Source organism: Homo sapiens, chromosome 1 (genome assembly GCF_000001405.40).
Source record: "Homo sapiens chromosome 1, GRCh38.p14 Primary Assembly".
NCBI lineage: Eukaryota > Metazoa > Chordata > Mammalia > Primates > Hominidae > Homo > Homo sapiens.
In genome coordinates, this window is record NC_000001.11 from 204394124 (window position 1) to 204413447 (window position 19324).

General features: G+C 41.2%; 1 protein-coding gene and 1 pseudogene across 3 annotated transcripts, besides 6 other annotated features; one reads left to right on the top strand and one right to left on the bottom strand.

Annotated features, from left to right (window-relative positions):
* Positions 1-750, top strand: LOC124904489 (small nuclear ribonucleoprotein F-like; annotated as a pseudogene).
* A 952-nt stretch (positions 751-1702) lies between these two features.
* PPP1R15B (protein phosphatase 1 regulatory subunit 15B) lies at positions 1703-17694 on the bottom strand. 3 transcript variants are annotated; one of them, XM_005245551.6, is made up of 3 exons: positions 15369-17694; positions 6530-6666; positions 1703-5427 (listed from the first exon to the last, which is right to left on the bottom strand). In XM_005245551.6, exons 1-2 carry the CDS (start codon positions 17286-17288, stop codon positions 6574-6576), a joined length of 2013 nt encoding a protein of 670 aa, XP_005245608.2. In that variant the 5' UTR covers positions 17289-17694; the 3' UTR covers positions 1703-5427; positions 6530-6573. The 3 variants fall into 3 exon arrangements, with proteins under 3 accessions (XP_005245608.2, XP_047288474.1, NP_116222.4); XM_047432518.1 differs by having other exon boundaries at positions 1703-5431; NM_032833.5 differs by lacking the exons at positions 1703-5427; positions 6530-6666 and adding an exon at positions 9258-12190.
* Positions 16671-17505: an enhancer, noted in NCBI's record as "NANOG-H3K27ac-H3K4me1 hESC enhancer chr1:204379922-204380756 (GRCh37/hg19 assembly coordinates)". NCBI's record gives its function as "activates a minimal SCP1, AML or CMV promoter by ChIP-STARR-seq in naive and primed H9 embryonic stem cells {active_cell/tissue: H9 hESC(naive and primed)}" and the evidence as "EXISTENCE:reporter gene assay evidence [ECO:0000049][PMID:30033119]".
* Positions 16671-17921: a biological region, named in NCBI's record as "NANOG-H3K27ac-H3K4me1 hESC enhancer GRCh37_chr1:204379922-204380756".
* Positions 16812-16961: an enhancer, noted in NCBI's record as "active region_2361". NCBI's record gives its function as "activates an Ori minimal core promoter by ATAC-STARR-seq in GM12878 lymphoblastoid cells {active_cell/tissue: GM12878}" and the evidence as "EXISTENCE:reporter gene assay evidence [ECO:0000049][PMID:35858748]".
* Positions 17222-17921: an enhancer, noted in NCBI's record as "active region_2362". NCBI's record gives its function as "activates an Ori minimal core promoter by ATAC-STARR-seq in GM12878 lymphoblastoid cells {active_cell/tissue: GM12878}" and the evidence as "EXISTENCE:reporter gene assay evidence [ECO:0000049][PMID:35858748]".
* Positions 17440-17886: a silencer, noted in NCBI's record as "fragment chr1:204380691-204381137 (GRCh37/hg19 assembly coordinates)". NCBI's record gives its function as "represses an EF-1alpha promoter that drives an FKBP-Casp9 reporter gene in an ReSE screen in phorbol 12-myristate 13-acetate-treated (for megakaryocytic differentiation) K562 erythroleukemia cells {active_cell/tissue: K562(+PMA)}" and the evidence as "EXISTENCE:reporter gene assay evidence [ECO:0000049][PMID:32094911]".
* Positions 17932-17981: an enhancer, noted in NCBI's record as "active region_2363". NCBI's record gives its function as "activates an Ori minimal core promoter by ATAC-STARR-seq in GM12878 lymphoblastoid cells {active_cell/tissue: GM12878}" and the evidence as "EXISTENCE:reporter gene assay evidence [ECO:0000049][PMID:35858748]".

A 19324-nucleotide genomic window follows, 5' to 3' on the forward strand; every position in this document is an offset into this window, starting at 1 on the left:
AAGGAAATATTTAGGGATAATGTAACAAAATATGTACAAGATCAATATATTGAATACTACAAAACACTTGAGAGAAACTTAAAAAGACTCAAATAAATGGAGAAATATAGTGTGTTTATGGATCAAAGGACTCAATATTGTTAAGATGTCAACTCTTCCTAAATCAATCCATACAGTCAGTGTAATTCCATTCAATGCCCAACCAGCACCCCCCACCTGCCCCGCATTTTTTTTGGTAAGAATTAATAAGCTAGTCCTGAAATTCAAATAGAAATGCAAAGGGTGACACTCCTATTTGGCAGCCATTTCTCTTAAAGCTCAGTGGTTCTGGACCTGCAGTATCTGCTGAGTTAGGAGGGACAGGAGAGTAGCAGCTAGGTCGGTGGCAAATAGCCCGCAACATTCCCTTTAGTTACAATGAGTTTACCCCTCAATCTCAAATATTTCCTCAGTGGATTAACAGGAGAGCCAGTGATGGTGAAGCTTAAGTGGGAATGGAGTATAAGGGCTACCTGGTATCTGTAGATGGCTATATGAACATGCAGCTTGCAGATACAGAATTCATAAATGAGGCATTGCCTGGACATCTAGGTGAAGTTTTAATAAGGTGTAATAATGTCCTTTATATCAGAGATGTGGAAGAAGAGGAAATGGGGAAATGAGTGAATAGCATCTTTTGAAGAGGATTTTTTAAATATGTATTTCTAGACAATAAAGATTTGTTTTTCAAAAAAAAAAAAAGCAAAGGGCCTGGAGTAACAAAAACCATTTTGAAAAAGAACAAAGTAATTTCAAGACTCACTATAAAGTTACAGTAATCAAGGCAGTGTGGTATTTATGTAAGCACAGAGATACAGATCAATGAAACAGAATACAGGGTCCAGAAATAGATCCATCTACATGGTCAACTGAAATTTGAAAAATATGTCAAAATTACTCAATGGAGAAAGGATAGTCTTTTCAACAATTGAATATCCATGTGCAAAAATATGAAGCTTAACCCTTGCCCTCATAACACATACAAAGGTTAACTCAGAGTGAATGACAAGACTTAAATGTCAGAGCTAAAACTACAAAACTTCTAGAAGTAAACATAAACAAAAATATTCATGACTTTGTTAGGGAAAAACTTCTAAGACCTTTGGAAAAGCATGGACCATAGAAGAAAAAATTGATAAACTGAACTTCTGCAAAATTAAAAAAATTCTGCTCCCCAAATTACATAATTTAAAAAATAAAAAGGCAAGCCACAGACTGGGAGAAATATTTGCAAAATATAAAGGACTTATATCTAGAATATGTTTTTAAAGACACACACACATACACAAATCCATATAAATACTAACAATTTGGCTTAAAAAAAAGGACAAAAGATTTGAACAGACACTTGACTGAAGAAGGTATTTATCAATGCAAATAAACATGTGGAAAGATGCTCCATATCATTAAACACCAAGGAAATGCAAATTTACACCAAAATAAGATGCCACTAGAATAGCTAAACTTAAAAAGACTTACAATATCAAGTGTTGGCAAGGATGTGGAGCAACTGGAGCTCATACGCTGCTGCCAAGTAGTATAGCCACTTTGGAAAACTGTTTGGGAGTTTCTTATATAATTAGATATATACTTACCATATGATCCAGCAGTCTCACTCCTGGATTTATCAAAAAGCAATGAAATCATATGTCCACTCAAACGCTTGTACTCAACAGTTCATAGAAGCTTTATTCATAATAGACACAAATTTATATGTGCTTATATATGTATATGTTTATATGTTTATATATGTAGTCATGTTTATATAACTACACATATTTATCAAAACTCATTGAATTCATACTTAAACAAGCCAACTGTTTATTATCTAGTAAATGAACAAATAGTGGTATAATTATACAATGAAATACTACTCAGCCATGAAAAGGAATGGACTACTGATACACTCAACAGAAGGAATGGACTGCAGAGACACTCAACAGCACAGATGAATCTCAAAAGCATTACAGTAAAGAAGCCCACCACAGAAGGGTCCATGCTGTACATCCGATACCATTTTTCTGAAATTCTAGAAGAGCTAAAAGTGTTGAAAGCAGATCAAAGGCCAGACGTGGTGGCTCACACCTGCAATCCCAGCATGTTGGGAGGCCAAAACAGGCAGATCTCTTGAGCCCAGAAGTTCAAGACTAGCCTGGGCAACATGCCAAAACCTTATCTCTACTAAAAATACAAAAAAAAAAAAAAAAGCAAAAACAAAAACAAAAAAAAAAAAACAAAAAACCAGCTGGGTGTGGTCGCACACAGCTGTAGTCCCAGCTACTCAGGAGGCTGAGGTGGGAGGATCACCTGAACCCAGGGAGATAAGGCTGCAGTGAGCCGTGATCACACCACTACACTCCAGCCTGGGTGACAGTAAGACCCTGTCTGTCAAAAAAAAAAAAAAAGACAAAGAAAAGAAAAGCAATGGCTGCCAAAAGCTGGAGGTTGGGAAGGGGACCGAATACAAAAGAACATAAGGGAACTTTCTGGGTGATGGAAATGATCCATATTTTGATAGTGGTGGTGTTTATATGACTACACGTGTTTATCAAAACTCATTGAATTCATACTTAAAATGAGTGAAACTTATTGTAAATTATACTTTAATAAGTTAATAAAAAACAAGAAGTGGGTTGGGGAGACGTTGCTCAAAGGATACAAACTTTCAGTGAGGAGGAATAAGTTCAAGAGATCTACTGTACGACATGGTGACCATAGTCAATAACAATGTATTATATTCTTGCAAATTGGCCAGGTGAGGTGGCTCACACCTGTAATCTCAACACTTTGGGAGGCAGGAGGAACACTTAAGCCTAGGACTTCAAGACCAGCCTGGGCAATATAGGGAGATCTCGCCCCTACAGATAACTTAAAAATTAGCCTGTTGTGGTGGTGTGAGCCTGTGGTCCCAGCTACTCGGGAAACTGAGGCAAGAGGATTGCCTGAGCCCAGGAGGTTGAGGCTGAAGAAAGCCATGATCATGCCACTGCACTCCAGCTTGGCAACAGAGCAAGGTTCTGTCTCAAAATAAATAAATACATAAATAAATAATAAAATAAAATAAAATAAATAAATAAAAAGCCCAGGCGTGATGGCTCACGCCTGTAATCCCAGCACTTTGGAAGGCCAAGGCAGGCAGATCACCTGAGCTCAGGAGTACGAGACCACCCTGGGCAACATGGGGTGAAACCTGTCTCTACTAAAATACAAAAAATTAGCCGGGTGTGGTGGCACGCGCCTGTAGTCCCAGCTACTTGGGAGGCTGAGACATGAGAATTGCTTGAGCCCAGGACGCGGAGGTTACAGTGAGGCGAAATTGCACCACTGCACTCCAGCTTGTCTCAAATAAATAAATAAATAGAAAAAGGAAATTGCTAAGAGTAGATTTTAAGGGTTCTTACCACAAAAAAAATGCTAAGTATGTGAGGTAATACATGTTAATTAGCTTGACTTACCATTCCACAATGTACACATATTTCAAAACATCATGTTGTAGACAGTAAACATATACAATTTTTGTCAATTTAAAAAACAGAAAAGTTTAAAAAACAATGTCCTCAACCATCTTAGAAAACTGGATATGAATGGTATCCTGCATAATGAAGTGCCTTTCATAACGATGACAATGTTTCAGCGAACCTTAGGCTACCACTGGAAAGAGTAGTCATGACGACCTTACATCAACTGATTTAAAACTTTGGGTTTCAGGTCATCACTAATAATGCTAGCTTTTCAAAAAAAAAAAAATCAAATACTACAAATACAAAATAATGTAAACATTGAAGATAGACCTTTTCACATACAAAATTGCTTCTTTGAAATGAATTCATAAATTACTTGTTATGTCGGGAGGGAGCCTGTGTGTTGGAAAAAAGAGGCTATGGAAATTACCACTTGAGTTAAAGAAAAGTGTATCATGTGTCTAAAATACTCTGGTCACTGCGCAGACCCTTCCACCACAGAGGAAGAAAGGAAAGAGCAAATCACAATTAAAATTCAATGTGACTTGAACAGTGATAAAAAAGTATACAAGGGCCAAGTGAGGTGGCTCATGCCTGTAATCGCGACACTTTGGGAGCCCCAGGCAGTAGGATCTCTTGAAGCCAGGAGTTTGAGACCAGCCTAGGCAATATAATTAGACCCCATCTCTACACACAAAAATAATAAAATTAGCCAGGCAATGTGGTGCATGCCTGTGGTCCTAGCTACTTGGGAGGCTGAGGTGGGAGGATTGTTTAAGCCCAAAAGTTGGAGGCTGCAGTGAGCTATGACCGTGCCACTGTACTCCAGCCTAGGCCTGGGCGACAGCAAGACTCAAAAAAAAAATCAGTTCCTTTGTTTGTGTTCAAATACAAATCTTGGTTCTCCTATAAGAAAGAGCCCCTACTTCTGGGTAATTACCACAAAAAGGTGGAGTCACACTGGGCCAGGCAGGCCTGGAATGGGCAGGGCAGGGCAGTTTTCCAGCTTGTTTACACATTGAGGGACCCACCTCCAGGGGAGCAATAGCAACCAGATCTGTAATAACAGGTGTCCATCAGGCACTCCCAGATGGAAGATAACGCCATCTGGTGGAGACAACAGAGCATCACTAGAAACCCAAAGCCAATCTTCTGCCAAAGAGCTAAAACCCCTGGTGTGGTGGCAAGAATACTCTGGTACTCCAATGCAGCCTATTAATTCTGGGAAAGGAGGGTCTCAGTTGATTTGCTCGCATATTAAATTCATAAATTAACAATGTGTCTTATATTAATAATGACACTAGAATTAATGGATGTGGTATACCTAGCCAAATTGAAATTTGTAATTACTTTCTACAAATTTAGTTAAAGCTTACGGTAGCTTTTCTCTAAGGACATTTAAATTCTGTGATTCTACATCATCTGATGATTGTGGCACACTTGTTTCTGGTCAGACAAGGCTGTGTGGATGAAACTTCAATAAAGCTGATAAGAGAGGTGACTTTGGGAAAGCTATTAACTTGGCCAGGCCCAGTGGCTCACACATGTAATCCCAGCACTTTGGGAGGCCAAGGCAGGAGGACTGCTTGAGGCCAGGAGTTGCTATATGGGCAACATAGCCAGACCCCATCTCTATTTATATATATTAAAAAAAAGAGTCCAGGCGTGGTGGCTCACGCCTATAATCCCAGCATTTTGGGAGGCCAAGGCAGGCAGCTCATGAGCCCAAGAGTTCGAGACCAGCCTGGGCAACATGGTGAAACCCCATCTCTACAAAAAAATTAAAGTTAGCTGGGTGTGATGGCATCTGCCTGTAGTCCCAGCTACTTAGGAGGCTAAGGCAGGAGAATCGCTGGAGCCTGGGAGGCGGAGGTTCAGCACCAAGATTGCACCATTGCACTCCAGTCTGGGTGATGGGAGTGGAACCCTGTCTCAAAAAAAAAAAAAAAAGTTGTTATTCAACAAATATTTATTGACTATAGCATACCAGACACAGTTCTAGGCTCTGGACTCATAAACGACAAGATCCCTGTTCTCATGGAGTTTACAGACTAGTGAGGGTGGTGGTAGATGAGAAACAAGTAAAAATGTTAACAAGATGAGGGCAGAGTGAACATAATTTTAAAAGGTACTGTGAGAGAAAAAGGAGGGGTTGGGGGATAGAGTGATCAGAGGGCTCTTTGAGGTGATTATTTGAGATCCAAAGAGGAACTAGTCTTTCATGATAAAATGCGGTCTTAAAAACACCCACTTCAGAACATATATCCAGATAAGTCTTTTTCAAAACCCCTGGGACTCCTCTGGTTTTTGCCTTCAGAGCCCATTAAGAAAAGGAGGTATGGCTGGACCTGACGACTCATGCCTGTAATCCCAGCACTTTGGGAGGCCAAGGTGGGCTACTTGCTTGAGTTCAGTAGTTTGAGACCAGCCCGGGCAACATAGTGAGACCCTGTCTCTACAAAAAATAGGTGAGCAAAGTGGTGCACACCTATGGTCCCAGCTACTCGAGAGGCTGAGATAGGAGGATTGCCTAAGCCTGGGAAGTCGAGGCTGCAGTGAGCTGTGATCATGCCACTGTACTTCAGAGCCTGGGTGACAGTGAGACACTGTCTCAAAAAAAAAAAAAAAAGAAAAGAAGGCTTAACTCAAAGCAGCATTTACTATCACCTCTTTCTTTGACCCTGAATATCCTTGGAATGTTTCTGAAAGTTAATCCATCTTTTTTATTTTCAACATTTTTGAGACAGGGTCTCACTTTGTCGTGCAGGCTGCAGTGCAGTGATTCAATCACAGCTCCCAACTCAGCCTCCCAAGTAGGTGGGACTACAGGCATGCACTACCTTGCCCAGCTAATTTCTTTTTCTTTTTTTTTTTTTGTATTTTTTGTAGAGATGGTTTTGCCATGTTGCCCACACTGGTCTTGAACTCCTGGGCTCAAGAGATCCTCCCACCTTGGCCTCCCAAAGTGCTGGGATTACAGGCATGAGCCACCACCCCTGGCCAATCCAATCTTAAGTATAAATATTTACCCAACATTTTAGTGGGAAAATGTGCAGTGAGCTCTGTAGAAAAGTCAAGAACCGTGTGAGGTCCTTTCTTCTCGCATCTCTGGCAATTGTGCTCTTCTTTTGCTATTAAGTTCTTCATCCTTCTTCTTGGTAGGGATCTATAAAACAGTAGTGAAAATAAAATATTCAGCAAATAAAGGCAGGAGGAAACATAAAGGATATTACTGAGATAAAGGGGGAAGTATAAAAGATTACAAGAACAAAACCTGAAAAATTGTTCCAAAGCTGCTTCCCTTGTTGTACAGCTTTCCAGGCCTTGCGGCTCTCAGGCTCATTAGATCTCTAGGGTATCCTCCCCATGGGTCAAGCAACCTACTTTCCACAAACCTAGTTTCCCCTGTCTCTCTCTGATAAGATTAAGGCGTCTGCCAGTGGTGAAACACTGATGTAACTCAAATTGCTTACATGGTAATACATAACTCCTACTCTCAACTGCCTTCTCCGTTCCATGTGTAGAATGAGTTAGTTCTCTTTAAATTCCCTGATGTCAAACCTGTCACTGAAACATATTGGTTGAAAGCATCATAGGTCCTGCTTGATGAATCCTCAAAGTCAGCAGGGTTAGAAGAGATTTACGTATCCTCTTTATGATACCGATTATTATAGATCTCAATAGCATGCTGCCAACACAGACTTAAGTCTCGCTGGAGCACATCCAGGAAGGAAAAGATTGGTGTTTTGTGTTGATCACAAAACATTCAACTAAGTTCATAAGGAAAGATTCCAAATAGCTAACCTGTGTATCATTAAATAACTCTCAAAACCTCTTTTTACAGATAAAAGGAAATTAAGTCTCTCAGCTCAGAAAGGTACCCTGGGAAGCATTATTTTTTAATGTACCAAAAATGTCTTTGTACATCTCTGTATTAGATGCTTTTATAAACAACGTGCATTATGAGAAAAAAATGAAAATTTCCCATTTTTATTTTAAAAAGGTACAGAGAATAGAGTCCAAATGAAGTCTCCAAATGACAATATGCCAGAGAACACCAAATTCCCAAATCTGAGTAACTATCTAAATTTCTGAGGTCTCAGCCTGGACAACATGGCAAAACCCCATCTCTACAAAAAACAGAAAAATTAGCTGAGTGCGGTGGTGTGCACCTGGAGTCCCAGCTACTCAGAAGGCTGAGGTGGGAGAATCGCTTGAGCCTGGGAGGTTGAGGCTGTTGAGGCTACAGTGAGCCAAGATCGCACCAATGCACTGCAGCCTGGAGGACAGAGCAAGACCATCTCAAAAAAACAAGAAATTCTGAGGTCAGCAATTAAATATTTGCTTTTAACTTTCTACTAAAGTACAAAAGAAAAATAACACAATTTCTATGAAATATCAGGATAAGCATAGCAATAAATCTGGCTTAATGTAAATGTAGCCATTTTCACATATATTACTGGGGAATGGCAGACATGCTTCAATTAACCCCAAGATAGAAATAAAATTATAACCCGGGGATGTCAACTCAGTTTGTACTAAATATTGTTTAACTGCAACTAAATGTTAGTTTCTTTCCTTCCAGTTCAGAAATATATCTTAATAACTTTTCTTCATTATCCTTTCATCTTGAAAGTGCCTGAATTAAGAGTGCTATTATTCTTTCATCCATTAATAGGGTTGCCATAACCCAAATGCTTTCTTTTTCGGAGTAAAAATTTTTTTCTGATAACATTTATTCTTTTGAGACAGTCTCAATGATCCATATATCTAGTATTAAAGCATGATTCCATCTGACTTTATTTTTTGAGACAGAGTCTATCACCCAGGCTGGAGTACAATGGTGGAATCACAGCTCACTGCAGGCTTGAACTTCTGTGCTCAAGCAACCCTCCTGTCTCAGCCTCCCCAGTAACTGGGTCTATAGGCTAGGACCACAGGTGTGCGCCACCATGGGCCAGTTTTTTTGTTTTTTTTTGTAGAGGAAAGTGTCTCACTATGTTGCTCAGGCTGGTCTTGAACTCCAGGCCTCAAGCAATCCTCCCACCTCAGCCTCCCGAAGTGCTGGAATTACAGGCGTGAGCCACCATACCTGGCCCACTTTTGTAAATGAGAGATCATCATGATTTTACAATACCATGATTATCGTGATTAGTAACACACAAAATAGCCAGACACGGTGGCTCACGCCTGTAATCCCAGCACTTTGGGAGGCCGAGGCAGGAGGGTCACGAGGTCAGGAGATCGAGAACAACCTGGCCAACATGATGAAACCCCATCTCTACTAAAAATACAAAATTTAGCCGGGCATGGTGGCAGGTGCCTGTGATCCCAGCTACTCGGGAGGCTGAGGCAGGAGAATCGCTTGAAACCGGAAGGTGGAGGTTGCAGTGAGCTGAGATCGTGCCACTTCAATGCAGCCTGGGTGACAGAGGCTCCGTCTCAAAAAATAATAATAATAATAATGCACAAAACAGAGATTTCCCTGCTACTTAAGCACTAGGCTAAGCCCAGCATCTGAATGTTATTGCTTCTGTGAATACCCAGTTTAATTTTCTTTGCAGCAAAACTGAAAAGCTAGGGCCAATTTCAGAATCAAATCTTCAGTTTCTTAGAAGGGCCTCTCATAATACTGCAAGAACCAAGTTCTTCTATTACTAAAATGTTGTTTGCAATTATACTAATCCTGCTTAGTAATTCCAAAACCATTGTAAAATACTATGATACATATAATATAAAGTTGAACCAAAATATCACTTAACATTTAATAATTGCAAATATATTTATTACAATTTACAGATTAGTTATGTTATATACACAAATATAATTTTAACTATAAAATCCCAACTAGTTACATTTAAATTATTGATCTGTAGAAGCCAATTTAGAGTCTTCTAGTCCCCTAACTTTACCTTCCTTAAATTATACAAAAATAAAATCTGATAGTTTTGATTTCAAGTTAAAGATGAAGAAGTGTTACATTTCATCACTCAGAAATGGAACTTTTACCTGTCTGTACAAAGCCTTTTACATGCTACATTGACACTTAAAGCACCATTAACAAGACTTTAAATGTATAAAATGTTTAATTAAAACCTCCAAAGATTTTCTCTTTAAGATTACGGGGGTTTAACTTTGTTCTAACTAGAATTGGGATGAAACAAGAATTTTGCTTTTTTCTCCTTCAGTCCAACTTTAAAATAGTCCTTTCTGTCCTTCTTATCACCTTCTGATCACTTCTTCCAAGGAGGCTAGTATATGGAAGAACTCTTAATCAAGCTTTCACTCATTTGGTAGTGAGGTTAGAATCCCATGGGGAACAATTTTCCAAAATCCAATGAAAGATGTCTCATTATTTTCAAATACACAGAGGTGCTAGGTTTAAGAAACAGGAAACACAACGTTAAGTCTCGGAAATAAAATGTTTCAGCCTGGTTTTAAAAGAATGCCTGTATGTTGTCAAAAGGCTTTTTTCAAGGCAAATGACGCCTGCTTTCCAACCGACATTGCTGTTGCTTGAAACTAGCCTGTTTTCATGTTATTAGACCATCCTGTAAATGTGCTCCCTATGATTACCTAAAGTGGAGGTGCACAAAACACACAGAATCCCAGCACTTTGAGAGGCCGAGGCGGGCGGATCACGAGGTCAGCAGTTCAAGACCAGTCTGGCCAACATAGCGAAACCCCGTCTCTACTAAAAAGACACAAAAAATTAGCCGGGCGTGGTGGTGTGTGCCTGTAATCCCAGCTACTCGGGAGGCTGAGGCAGGAGAATCGCGTGAACCCAGGAGGCGGAGGTTGCAGTGAGCCGAGATCGCGCCACTGCACTCCAAGCTGGGGGACCGAACGAGACTCTGTCTCAAAAAAAAAAGAAAAAAACAAAAAACACACAGAATAAGGGCTCTGCAAAAATTTGACCAGCTTTTATAGTGTTGCATTCTCAATGTGTTTAATTATGAATATATAAACAGTGGAGGCAGTTCTTAGAACTGGATAGAAATAAAATAATGACCAGGTAGATTGTAAACTGAGGTAGTAACCCTGTAAGCACTTCTGATGAAAAATTCATCCCCACACTTAAATAAGTTCAAAACTAAGAGGTCACCTATTCTACTTATGTTTTCCATTACCTGTGACAGGAAGCACACGGAATGAAAGCAGACCACGGAAGGGTTAACAACCCCTCAACCTAACTTATGTGTACCTTGTAAAGCTAAACAAATAAACCAAACACAAACAGTCAATGCAAAGACTTCAATTCAAAGTAACCTTTGGGCTAAATATATTAAAACTTTCCAGTCATTAATCTATACTTCTATCCTTTCCTGAAAGTAAAGGCCTTGCCATTACTTCTCTCATTATTAAATAGTAGGACACAATAAACCTGGATATTGACTGAAGTTTATATTTTACATTTCAAACGTGAAAATTCAGAACTGCCCATTTCCAATTTTACAGTGGGATCCTGACAGGTTTTAAAAGTGACAGTGCTGAGGCATGATATTCATTAACACTGGTTTTCTGTTGAGAACATATACACCAAAACCAAATTGCTCTGAGATGTCTCCTATTTTCTTTCTAGGAAATTTCTAGGCTTTTAAGTTTAAAAAATAAATGATTATGATGTAATTATTACTTTCCAGAGTGTTTTGCAATAACTTCAACCTGTTAAGAGATACAAAGAACTATATTAAACTGGGAACTACAATAACGTACACAGAACCCTCTTCAAAGAAATTAAATATATTAGATGTTAAAATGTGGTAGAAAGATGCAGCTTTCCCAAAGTAGTAAAGTACTGCACATATGGGTTTTGTGGCAGTCCTTGGAAATATCCTAGGTAGAACTTAATGTAGAAATAAAAAGGCTACCACATATTTTCAATCCAAGTCATTTTTACAAGAAAAAAAAAAGTGACACAAAATAATGCACTTTAAGTTGGTAGCATACACAAGGTTATTTTTTAGCCTAACATAGACAGGCCAAATCATTGAAATAAAAAAAATATAGAAAAACATAAAAGCCCATTAACTTCTGAATTTTGGGAAAGAAACAAGAAAGAGCCCAAAGTTTTCAGATAGGCACACATAATTTAGATTAGAAATGAAAATGGGCTTTAAGCCCTATAAATATTGTTTTCCAAGAAAATAAGTTTTGAAAGTGCAAAATGACAACTCAAAAAGGTCCCCTTTCCACCTCATGCAGGCAAAGGACATTTAAAAGCACATCCAACTAAATCAAAAAAGGGAGGATTAGAAATCACACTAGTTCATCCTTCATTATCAGGGCTGGCTTCAAACCTGAATGTTTCTGAGTGGGATATGTTGCAAAAAAAAAAATTAAACTAGATCCAAGTTACATTTCCTCTAAAAAAAAAAATGTCAAAGGACAGCTGCCAAGATTTGTTTTTAAAAGACACCTCTCAGGTAAGAGGTAGTGTATGCTAGCTAGGACTACAGGCTGCCAACTCAACATTGCTTGAGAACATTAAGTCCTTTGAAGCATGTTCCCTGGAGTCTATTAAACATTCTTTCTCTGTGTTCAAATGTCAAGCAATATCCAATAGCATCTTCTGTTTCTTGAATTCGTTTCTGGAACCTGCATCCATCCCTTGCAAATTCTTCCCATGGTCCTTTGCGATCCTCATCACCACTTATATAATACTCAGTAACTTCTTCAAGGAAGGTTACCTACAAAAACAAAGACTAATTTTAATAACTGTCTAGGATCTTACAATCAGCATTGAGGTCAATAACCCTTTATGCTACCAATTCTTTCAGAATATTCCCAACTAAGAATAACATATTATTATTAGGAATATTTGGTCCCAGCTATATTTGAAGTTAAAAAAAAAGTTCTGTCACGCCTGTAATCCCAGCATTTTGGGAGGCGGAAGCAGGCGGATCACCTGAGGTCAGGAGTTCAAGACCAGCCTGACCAACACAGTGAAACCCTGTCTCTAGTAAAAATACGAAAAAATTAGCCAGGCGTGGTGGCACATGCCTGTAATCCCAGCTACGCAGGAGGCTGAGGTAGGAGAACAGTTTGAACCTGGGAGGTGGAGGTTGCAGTGAGCCAATATCGCGCCACTACACTCTAGCCTGTGCAACAAGAGCAAAACTCTGTCTCAAAAAAAAAAAAGTTCAGATTAGATGGCATTTGGATAAAATAGTGAACAAATGTCACCTAAATATTTCATATAGAGATATATATCTTTCATCTATATATACTTCATTTATCTATATCTGCATAATATACACACACAGTCGTCTGCCCCCCCCAATCCCCCACCAGCCCTTGGCTTTTGGTGTTAATAAAATGAATCCAGATAGGGAATTGAATTTTTCATGCTGTTATTAACCCCTGCTATTTTTTAATCCTTAGGGAAATACAGTTCTGTGATATTTTTCCCTCAAAATGACAAGCAAAATATTTCTGAAAATAACCACTATATCCCTGGAAGTCACTGTTTTTATCACTGCATAAAGGCTTTAACAATATTTTTGCTTACTTCTATTCTTTTTCCTTTTAAAAATTTTTTTCACTTTCCAACTTTTAAATCAACATGTTGTACTATTTTTGTATCATTACTTTGGCAATAACAATACAGAAGAGAAAAAGTTACTTAGTAAACAAAGTATAGCAAAATTAGTATTTTTAAAGCTGTGTTACTCTAAGAAACTTTGTAGTTAAGATTTTAAAAACCTTTGTATTCAATATGCTATCACTATATATGAAATTGTGATTCTAATATACATAATGACATGTAATGAGTGACAATCCCTACTCATTACTAATCACTACTTAATTTCTAATGAAGTTTCTTTCTAAGATATCAAACTCCAAAAGTAAATACTTGCTTTCAAGTATGTTTAATAGTTACATCAGCTAACCCCAATGTGGCCTACTACTTTCGTTCCCTTTACATCAAGCCAAGGGATGCCCCTGAGGACAATTAGCAGGTATGTAACACCTTACTAGTTATTGCATTCTAGTCTTGAATACTACTCATTCATTGTGTCATTAAGATAAATAATAAAAACGTACAGTGTTTACCATATACCAGGCTTTTTTTAAAGAGCTTTACATTTTTATCTCATCTAATCCTCACATTAACCCTATGAGGTATGGACTATTATCATCCCCATTATACCGATAAGAAAACAGAGGTAGAAGGGTTTTTTAGACTCACTGTCCATCATCCTATATACTCCATATATTCCATACACCATTCCCCATATATACCAATGGCAGGTAGTCAAAGGCTGTCAAATAATTATATCATATTCAGACATAATCATTTATAAATTCTGCTTCTAGTTCATAGTCAATAGTATCATCTACTCCACTCATTTCATTTTACTCAACGAGCAAGCTAAAACAAGACATGAGACTGGCCTGAGGTCTCTCAATAAGAGCTAGCATTTAAAGGCAAGGCAATAAATTCTGAGTTTTATTTACTTGTCTCATTTAAATCTTGCAATAACTTGTACAATAGATATTATTATTTTACCCATCAAGTAAGAGTGAATTGAGGCCATGAGAGTCAAGCAACTTCCCAGGTCTGGCTGCCTTCCAAATCTCTGCGCCTTAACCACTGAGGAGTAGAGAACACAGGGCTCCAGCTGCCAAGTGCTCATTCCATTGCCCCACTTTGTTTCTTACCTATTCATTCTAAATAGGTCATTTTGTCAGGGGCCCCTTAAAAGGACAAAGAGAGATGGCATTTACAAAGTGTGAACTAAAATTTAATCTTTAACATGACTTATTCTGCCCTAAAGGTAAGACGTAAGATTATCACCATTTTGAGACATTTTCTACCCAGGAATAATTTCAAAGTAGTAAGCTGGCCATGTGGAGCCAAGAGATTATGGTACTGTCCATTTGAAACGCCCCAGTGAGGCAGAATCTGAGGTCAATAATAACTCACCCACTAACTTCTCTCTCCAAGTAACGGTATAGAAAACTAAAAAAACGTTCCCTCTACAATAATAGACACCTTTGAGTTTGGAGAAGAGTTCAATTAATAACTTTAGTTGAATCAACTATAAAGAAAAACAAACCAACTCTAAAGACTCCCAAAATAAGGTTAACCTGACAATGTAATTAAAGCGTAAAATGCTGCATGAAGTTTTAAGACTAGCCTGGGAAAAGGAAGCAACTAGTCAAGATAAACCAAGTAAGTGGCCATCACTGTTTATTATTAATATTAACCTGTAGCTGACCACTGATAACTAGCATTGCATTCCTAAGAAAAGGCAATACCACTTCCTGTACTGGCTTTGACTTTCAATTAAAACCATGTAATGTCAAAACCAGTGAAATTACTATTTAATTTCATGGCCAATTGGACCAGATAAATCTGACTTGCTACTTGATATCATCATCCCTTTGGGTTGTAATGGACAGGAATGAAGACACTCTTGTTATATGCAAAAAAAATATTAAGTATTTGCAGACAACATACATTTAAAATCATTTTAAAACTCTATGGCTGTAACAGGACCTTTTCAATCTCTAGAAAAATTAAATCGTGTACACACAAAGTTTAATAGTCCGTTAAAAAGTGTGAAAAATTGAAGCTTGTAAGGAAACAGTCCAGAACTACCAACCCAAATAAAAATGGCACTTTCCTGCTAACATCTACACACTGGTATGTTCGTTTTGGACAGCAACAATGTGCATTGGGGTGGGGGGTGAGGGACAGGAGGAGAAGGGTCATTTACATATTTCTCAATCCAAGTATATGAATTTAGAGGCCTTCCTCAAAAATACATGCACTCCTAAGCCTCCAAAGTCATGCTGCTATATTTAAGCATATAAAAACAGTCAGAACATATCAGGCATGTTAAAAGACAAGAAACAAACCTTTTTTCTTTTGACATGTGTGTGTCTTCCTCCAGAAAGAACGTCACGCTGTACCGAGTCTGGACATTCACTTTCTTGGCTCCCCAACAGCTGCACCTTACAAGAAAGTAAGGTGTGACACTCAGAAATGGCCACAATGGACTCAGATGGGGTCTTTGAGTCACGACAGCCTTTCTCATTTTCCCCTGATGTTTGAAAAGGAGCCTTAAAATTTAAAGGGTTGTAGGGGTCATCAGAATTACAGAATGAGTTCCACAGTTTGAGACTCTCTGCTTCATCTGCACTAGATTCCCAGTCATCTTCCTCCCCAGAACTATGCTCAGGGGTCTCAGGAAGGCTTCCAGACTGGGAGGAATTCTCTAGATCAGACTTGCCAGACAAATCCTTCTCTGAATCAGAAGGCTCTTCAGGAACAATTCTGGCAGCAGTCTGAATTGTTGCTGTAAAGTTCTGGGGATTATAAGGATCTACACTGCAGAAAGAGTTCCAAAGGTGAAGCCCTTCAGGGTCTTGTTCAAGGTCTGAGTCTGACAGTGAGCTATCACTATCAAAACCATCATCCTCAGCTTCCTCATCCCAATCCTCACCTTCTGGATCAGAACTTGTTTCCAGGTCACTGGATGCACCTCCCAAAATATAATCTATCAGTTTGTTACTACAAGCTGGTCTGGCAGAAATGGGAAGGTCACCTTCTAGGTATGAGTAATCAACTACACTTATTCGGCCCTCTCCAGGCTCCTTTTCCATAGGTATCTCACTAGATGGACAGCCCTCAGAAGGGCTCTCTTCTTCCAAAGCAAGTGGAACCTCTGTAGTTAATAATTCTATTTTTTCTTCAGTGGATTCCTGGGTGTTTCCAGGAATGTCTCCAGCAGCAGGAACAAACTGTGTTGGGTTATCTCTGCAGTGTTTTGGATCCATCCGGAGAAGGCTGTGTTCCTCCTCCAGGCTGTGGTAGCCATTATCCTGGTCAGGGGTGGGTAAATCTTGCCCCTTGCTAGCCTGTTGAAGGAATTCCAGCCGTTTCATGCGAAGATGGTGAATTTCTGGTAGGCCTTCCGTAGAAAGAGGTGGACATCCCTGCCACGAGGCCGGAATGAGTTCTGCACTCAGCGGCTGGGGATGACAATGGTCCTCTCTCAGGCAGCTGCTCTCTGGGGTTAGTGTCTGGAAGCCGACTACCTCGCTATTTCCATCACTGTTCTGATAGCTGACTTCTAGCCTAGGAAAGCAGTCCAGGTAGGAAGGGTTCAGCAAATAGGATACCACACTGAAATTGTCTATGCGTTGAATGTTTAGAGGCCCAGAGGGCGAAGAGCCAAGTTCCCGGTTAGAGTACAGACGGGATTGAAGGCTACTGGGCAACAGCTCCACTCCCCACAGCTGCTGCTCTAAGAGAAAAGCCTGTGCTGCAGGGTCCAAAGCACTTCCCTTGGCCTTAAGCTCCAATTTTAGGTCTGGGGGCGAGTATTGCCAGTGGATCCCCTCCTCTAGCCAATCAAGGGGACTGGTGACCGAGGGGTCTGAGGAGTCGAGCTGCAGCGAACTCAAAGATTTCTGCGCTGTGGGGGCGGCTGGTTTCTCCCGTCCCTTCAGGGCTCTCAGGGCGCTGTAGACTCCAGCAAAATCTAGCCATCTGGTCGGAAACATTCCACCGAAAAGTTGGCTCCAAATTAGCACCTTCTGAAGCAATCCGGGGAGCGGCGCAAGGAGCTGGGAGAGCAGTTTCGTCCAGTAACTGACCCGAGTCTCGGGCTGGGCAGAGGAAAGCAGTGTGGGGTTCCCGGAGTTTTCCGGGCCAAGAGGCGTCGGGAACTTAGAAGAGCCTGCTTGCGATCGCCGAGGGAAAAAGGGTGGCCAGAACCGGAAGCCCGCCCGAGGGCCAAGCCGTTTCCGCGATCCGCCTGTCCCCGGCTCCATCTCCTTTTTCTTGACAGTCTCTCAGGTAGGGCCGCGGCGCTCAGCGGCTGGAGGTCGACGGGATTCGGAGGAAGCCTACAGAGTCTCGGCCTTGCCCAGCGGTGGCGTCGCTGCTCCAGGCCGATCTTCGAGCCAGCAGAAAAGCCACAGAGGGCAGCGAATGCGGCAGCGGGCGGCAGAACACAGGGAAGAACAGCCCGCGCAATAGGCGGCGACTGATGCGACTTCCATCCTGGCGGGGAAGGAGGTTCCCTAGTCGGCTCGACGCTTCAACACCATGGATAGGAGTCCCCCCACGGCCTCGGCGATGGTTTTCCGACTGACAGAGGGTTGAAAAGCCCCTGAGCAACGCGATACCGGAAGGACTGGGTAGGCCGGCTGGTGCGGTGGAAGCGAAGCCCAAAATGGCCGCAGGGCCCGCGCGCCGGCAGGACACCCCCCTAGACGCCGGAAGAGACGCAGGACTGTTGGGCGTCTACGTCCCTAGCGCCGCGCCGCCCAACGTCACTCGCAAAATCCCCGGGGGGCGGGCCTTTCCGCCCACTTCCGTGTGGCCGCCGATTGGTTTTGCCAGATTTCCCTGTCGGCTTCCTTACTCGAGGTAGAGCCGCACGGCAGCGTGAGGTTGCATCAGCCGGGGCGGGGGGGGGGGGGGGGGGGGGGGGGGGAATGCACGCATGCGCAGTCGTTTCTGTGTGGTCTCCTAGGAGACCGCCCCAACAGCCCTCTAGGTTAAAGGTCTTGGGGAGGGGAGGGGTTTTCAAAATAACCCGAGAATTTCCCGGAGGCGTTTTGATGGCCTAATACACACTGACGTGTGTACAGTCATCCCCTCTCATGAAATGGGGATTAGTTCCAGGACCCCGTAGACACCAGAATCCGCAGACGGTCAAGTCCCTTATGTAAAATGGTATAGTGTTTGCATATAACCTGCATACACCTTCCCAGATATTTAAACCATCCCCTAGATTAAGTATAATACCTAATACAATGCAAGTGCTATGGAACTAGTTGTTATACTGTATTTATTTGTATTATGTTTTATTATCTTTATTTTTCCCGAATATTTTCAATCCATGGAAGGTTGAATGCCCCGCGGGCCAACTGTAGGGTTATCGTAGTCTTAGATTTTTATTATTTATTTATTTGAGACAGGGTCTAGCTCTGTCGCCCAGGCTGGAGTGCAGTAGTGCGATCTCGGCTCACTGCAGCCTCAACCTCCTGGGCTCCAGTGAGCCTCCCACCTCAGCCTCCCGAGGAGCTGGGACTACAGGCTCGCACCACCACGCCCAGCTAAATTTTTTTTTTTTTTGAGACGGATTCCCACTCTGTCGCCAGGCTGGAGTGCAGTGGCGCAATCTCGGCTCACTGCAACCTCCGCCTCCCGGGTTCAAGCGATTCTCCTGCCCCAGCCTCCCTAGTAGCTGGTACTACAGGCGTGTGCCACCACGCCCAGTTAATTTTTTGTATTTTTAGTAGAGACAGGGTTTCACCATGTTGGCTAGGATGGTCTCGATCTCCTGACCTTGTGATCCGCCCGCCTCAGCCTCCCAAAGTGCTGGGATTACAGGCGTGAGCCACCGTGCTCGGCCAATTTTTGCATATTTTTATAGAGACAGGGTTTCGTCGTGTTGCCCAGGTTGGTTTCAAACTCAGCTCAAGTGATCTGCCCGCCTCGGCCTCCTAAAGTGCTGGGGTTACAGGCGTGAGCCACTGCGCCCAGCCTGACAGATATTTCAGGGTTCTCCTATTGTTCAGTACTATGTAGACCATCAACCTGAGATCTTATGTAAAAGTTGGGCAGTGCTGCGTACATACATGTCTGGTGTGGGGCAAACTAAACTCACAGAGAAGCAGCTCAGTCCCCAGAACTATTTACTCTCTTTTATGCTTCCAAGCAGGCAACATATTCAATTCATATTTATTAATACTTCCTTAGCAACCAGAACCACAGAATACAACAGCCAAAAAGGAAACATGGACCACTATCCTTTGAAAAAAAAAATGGCTGGTAATTTTAATTGCTGTATTTGATT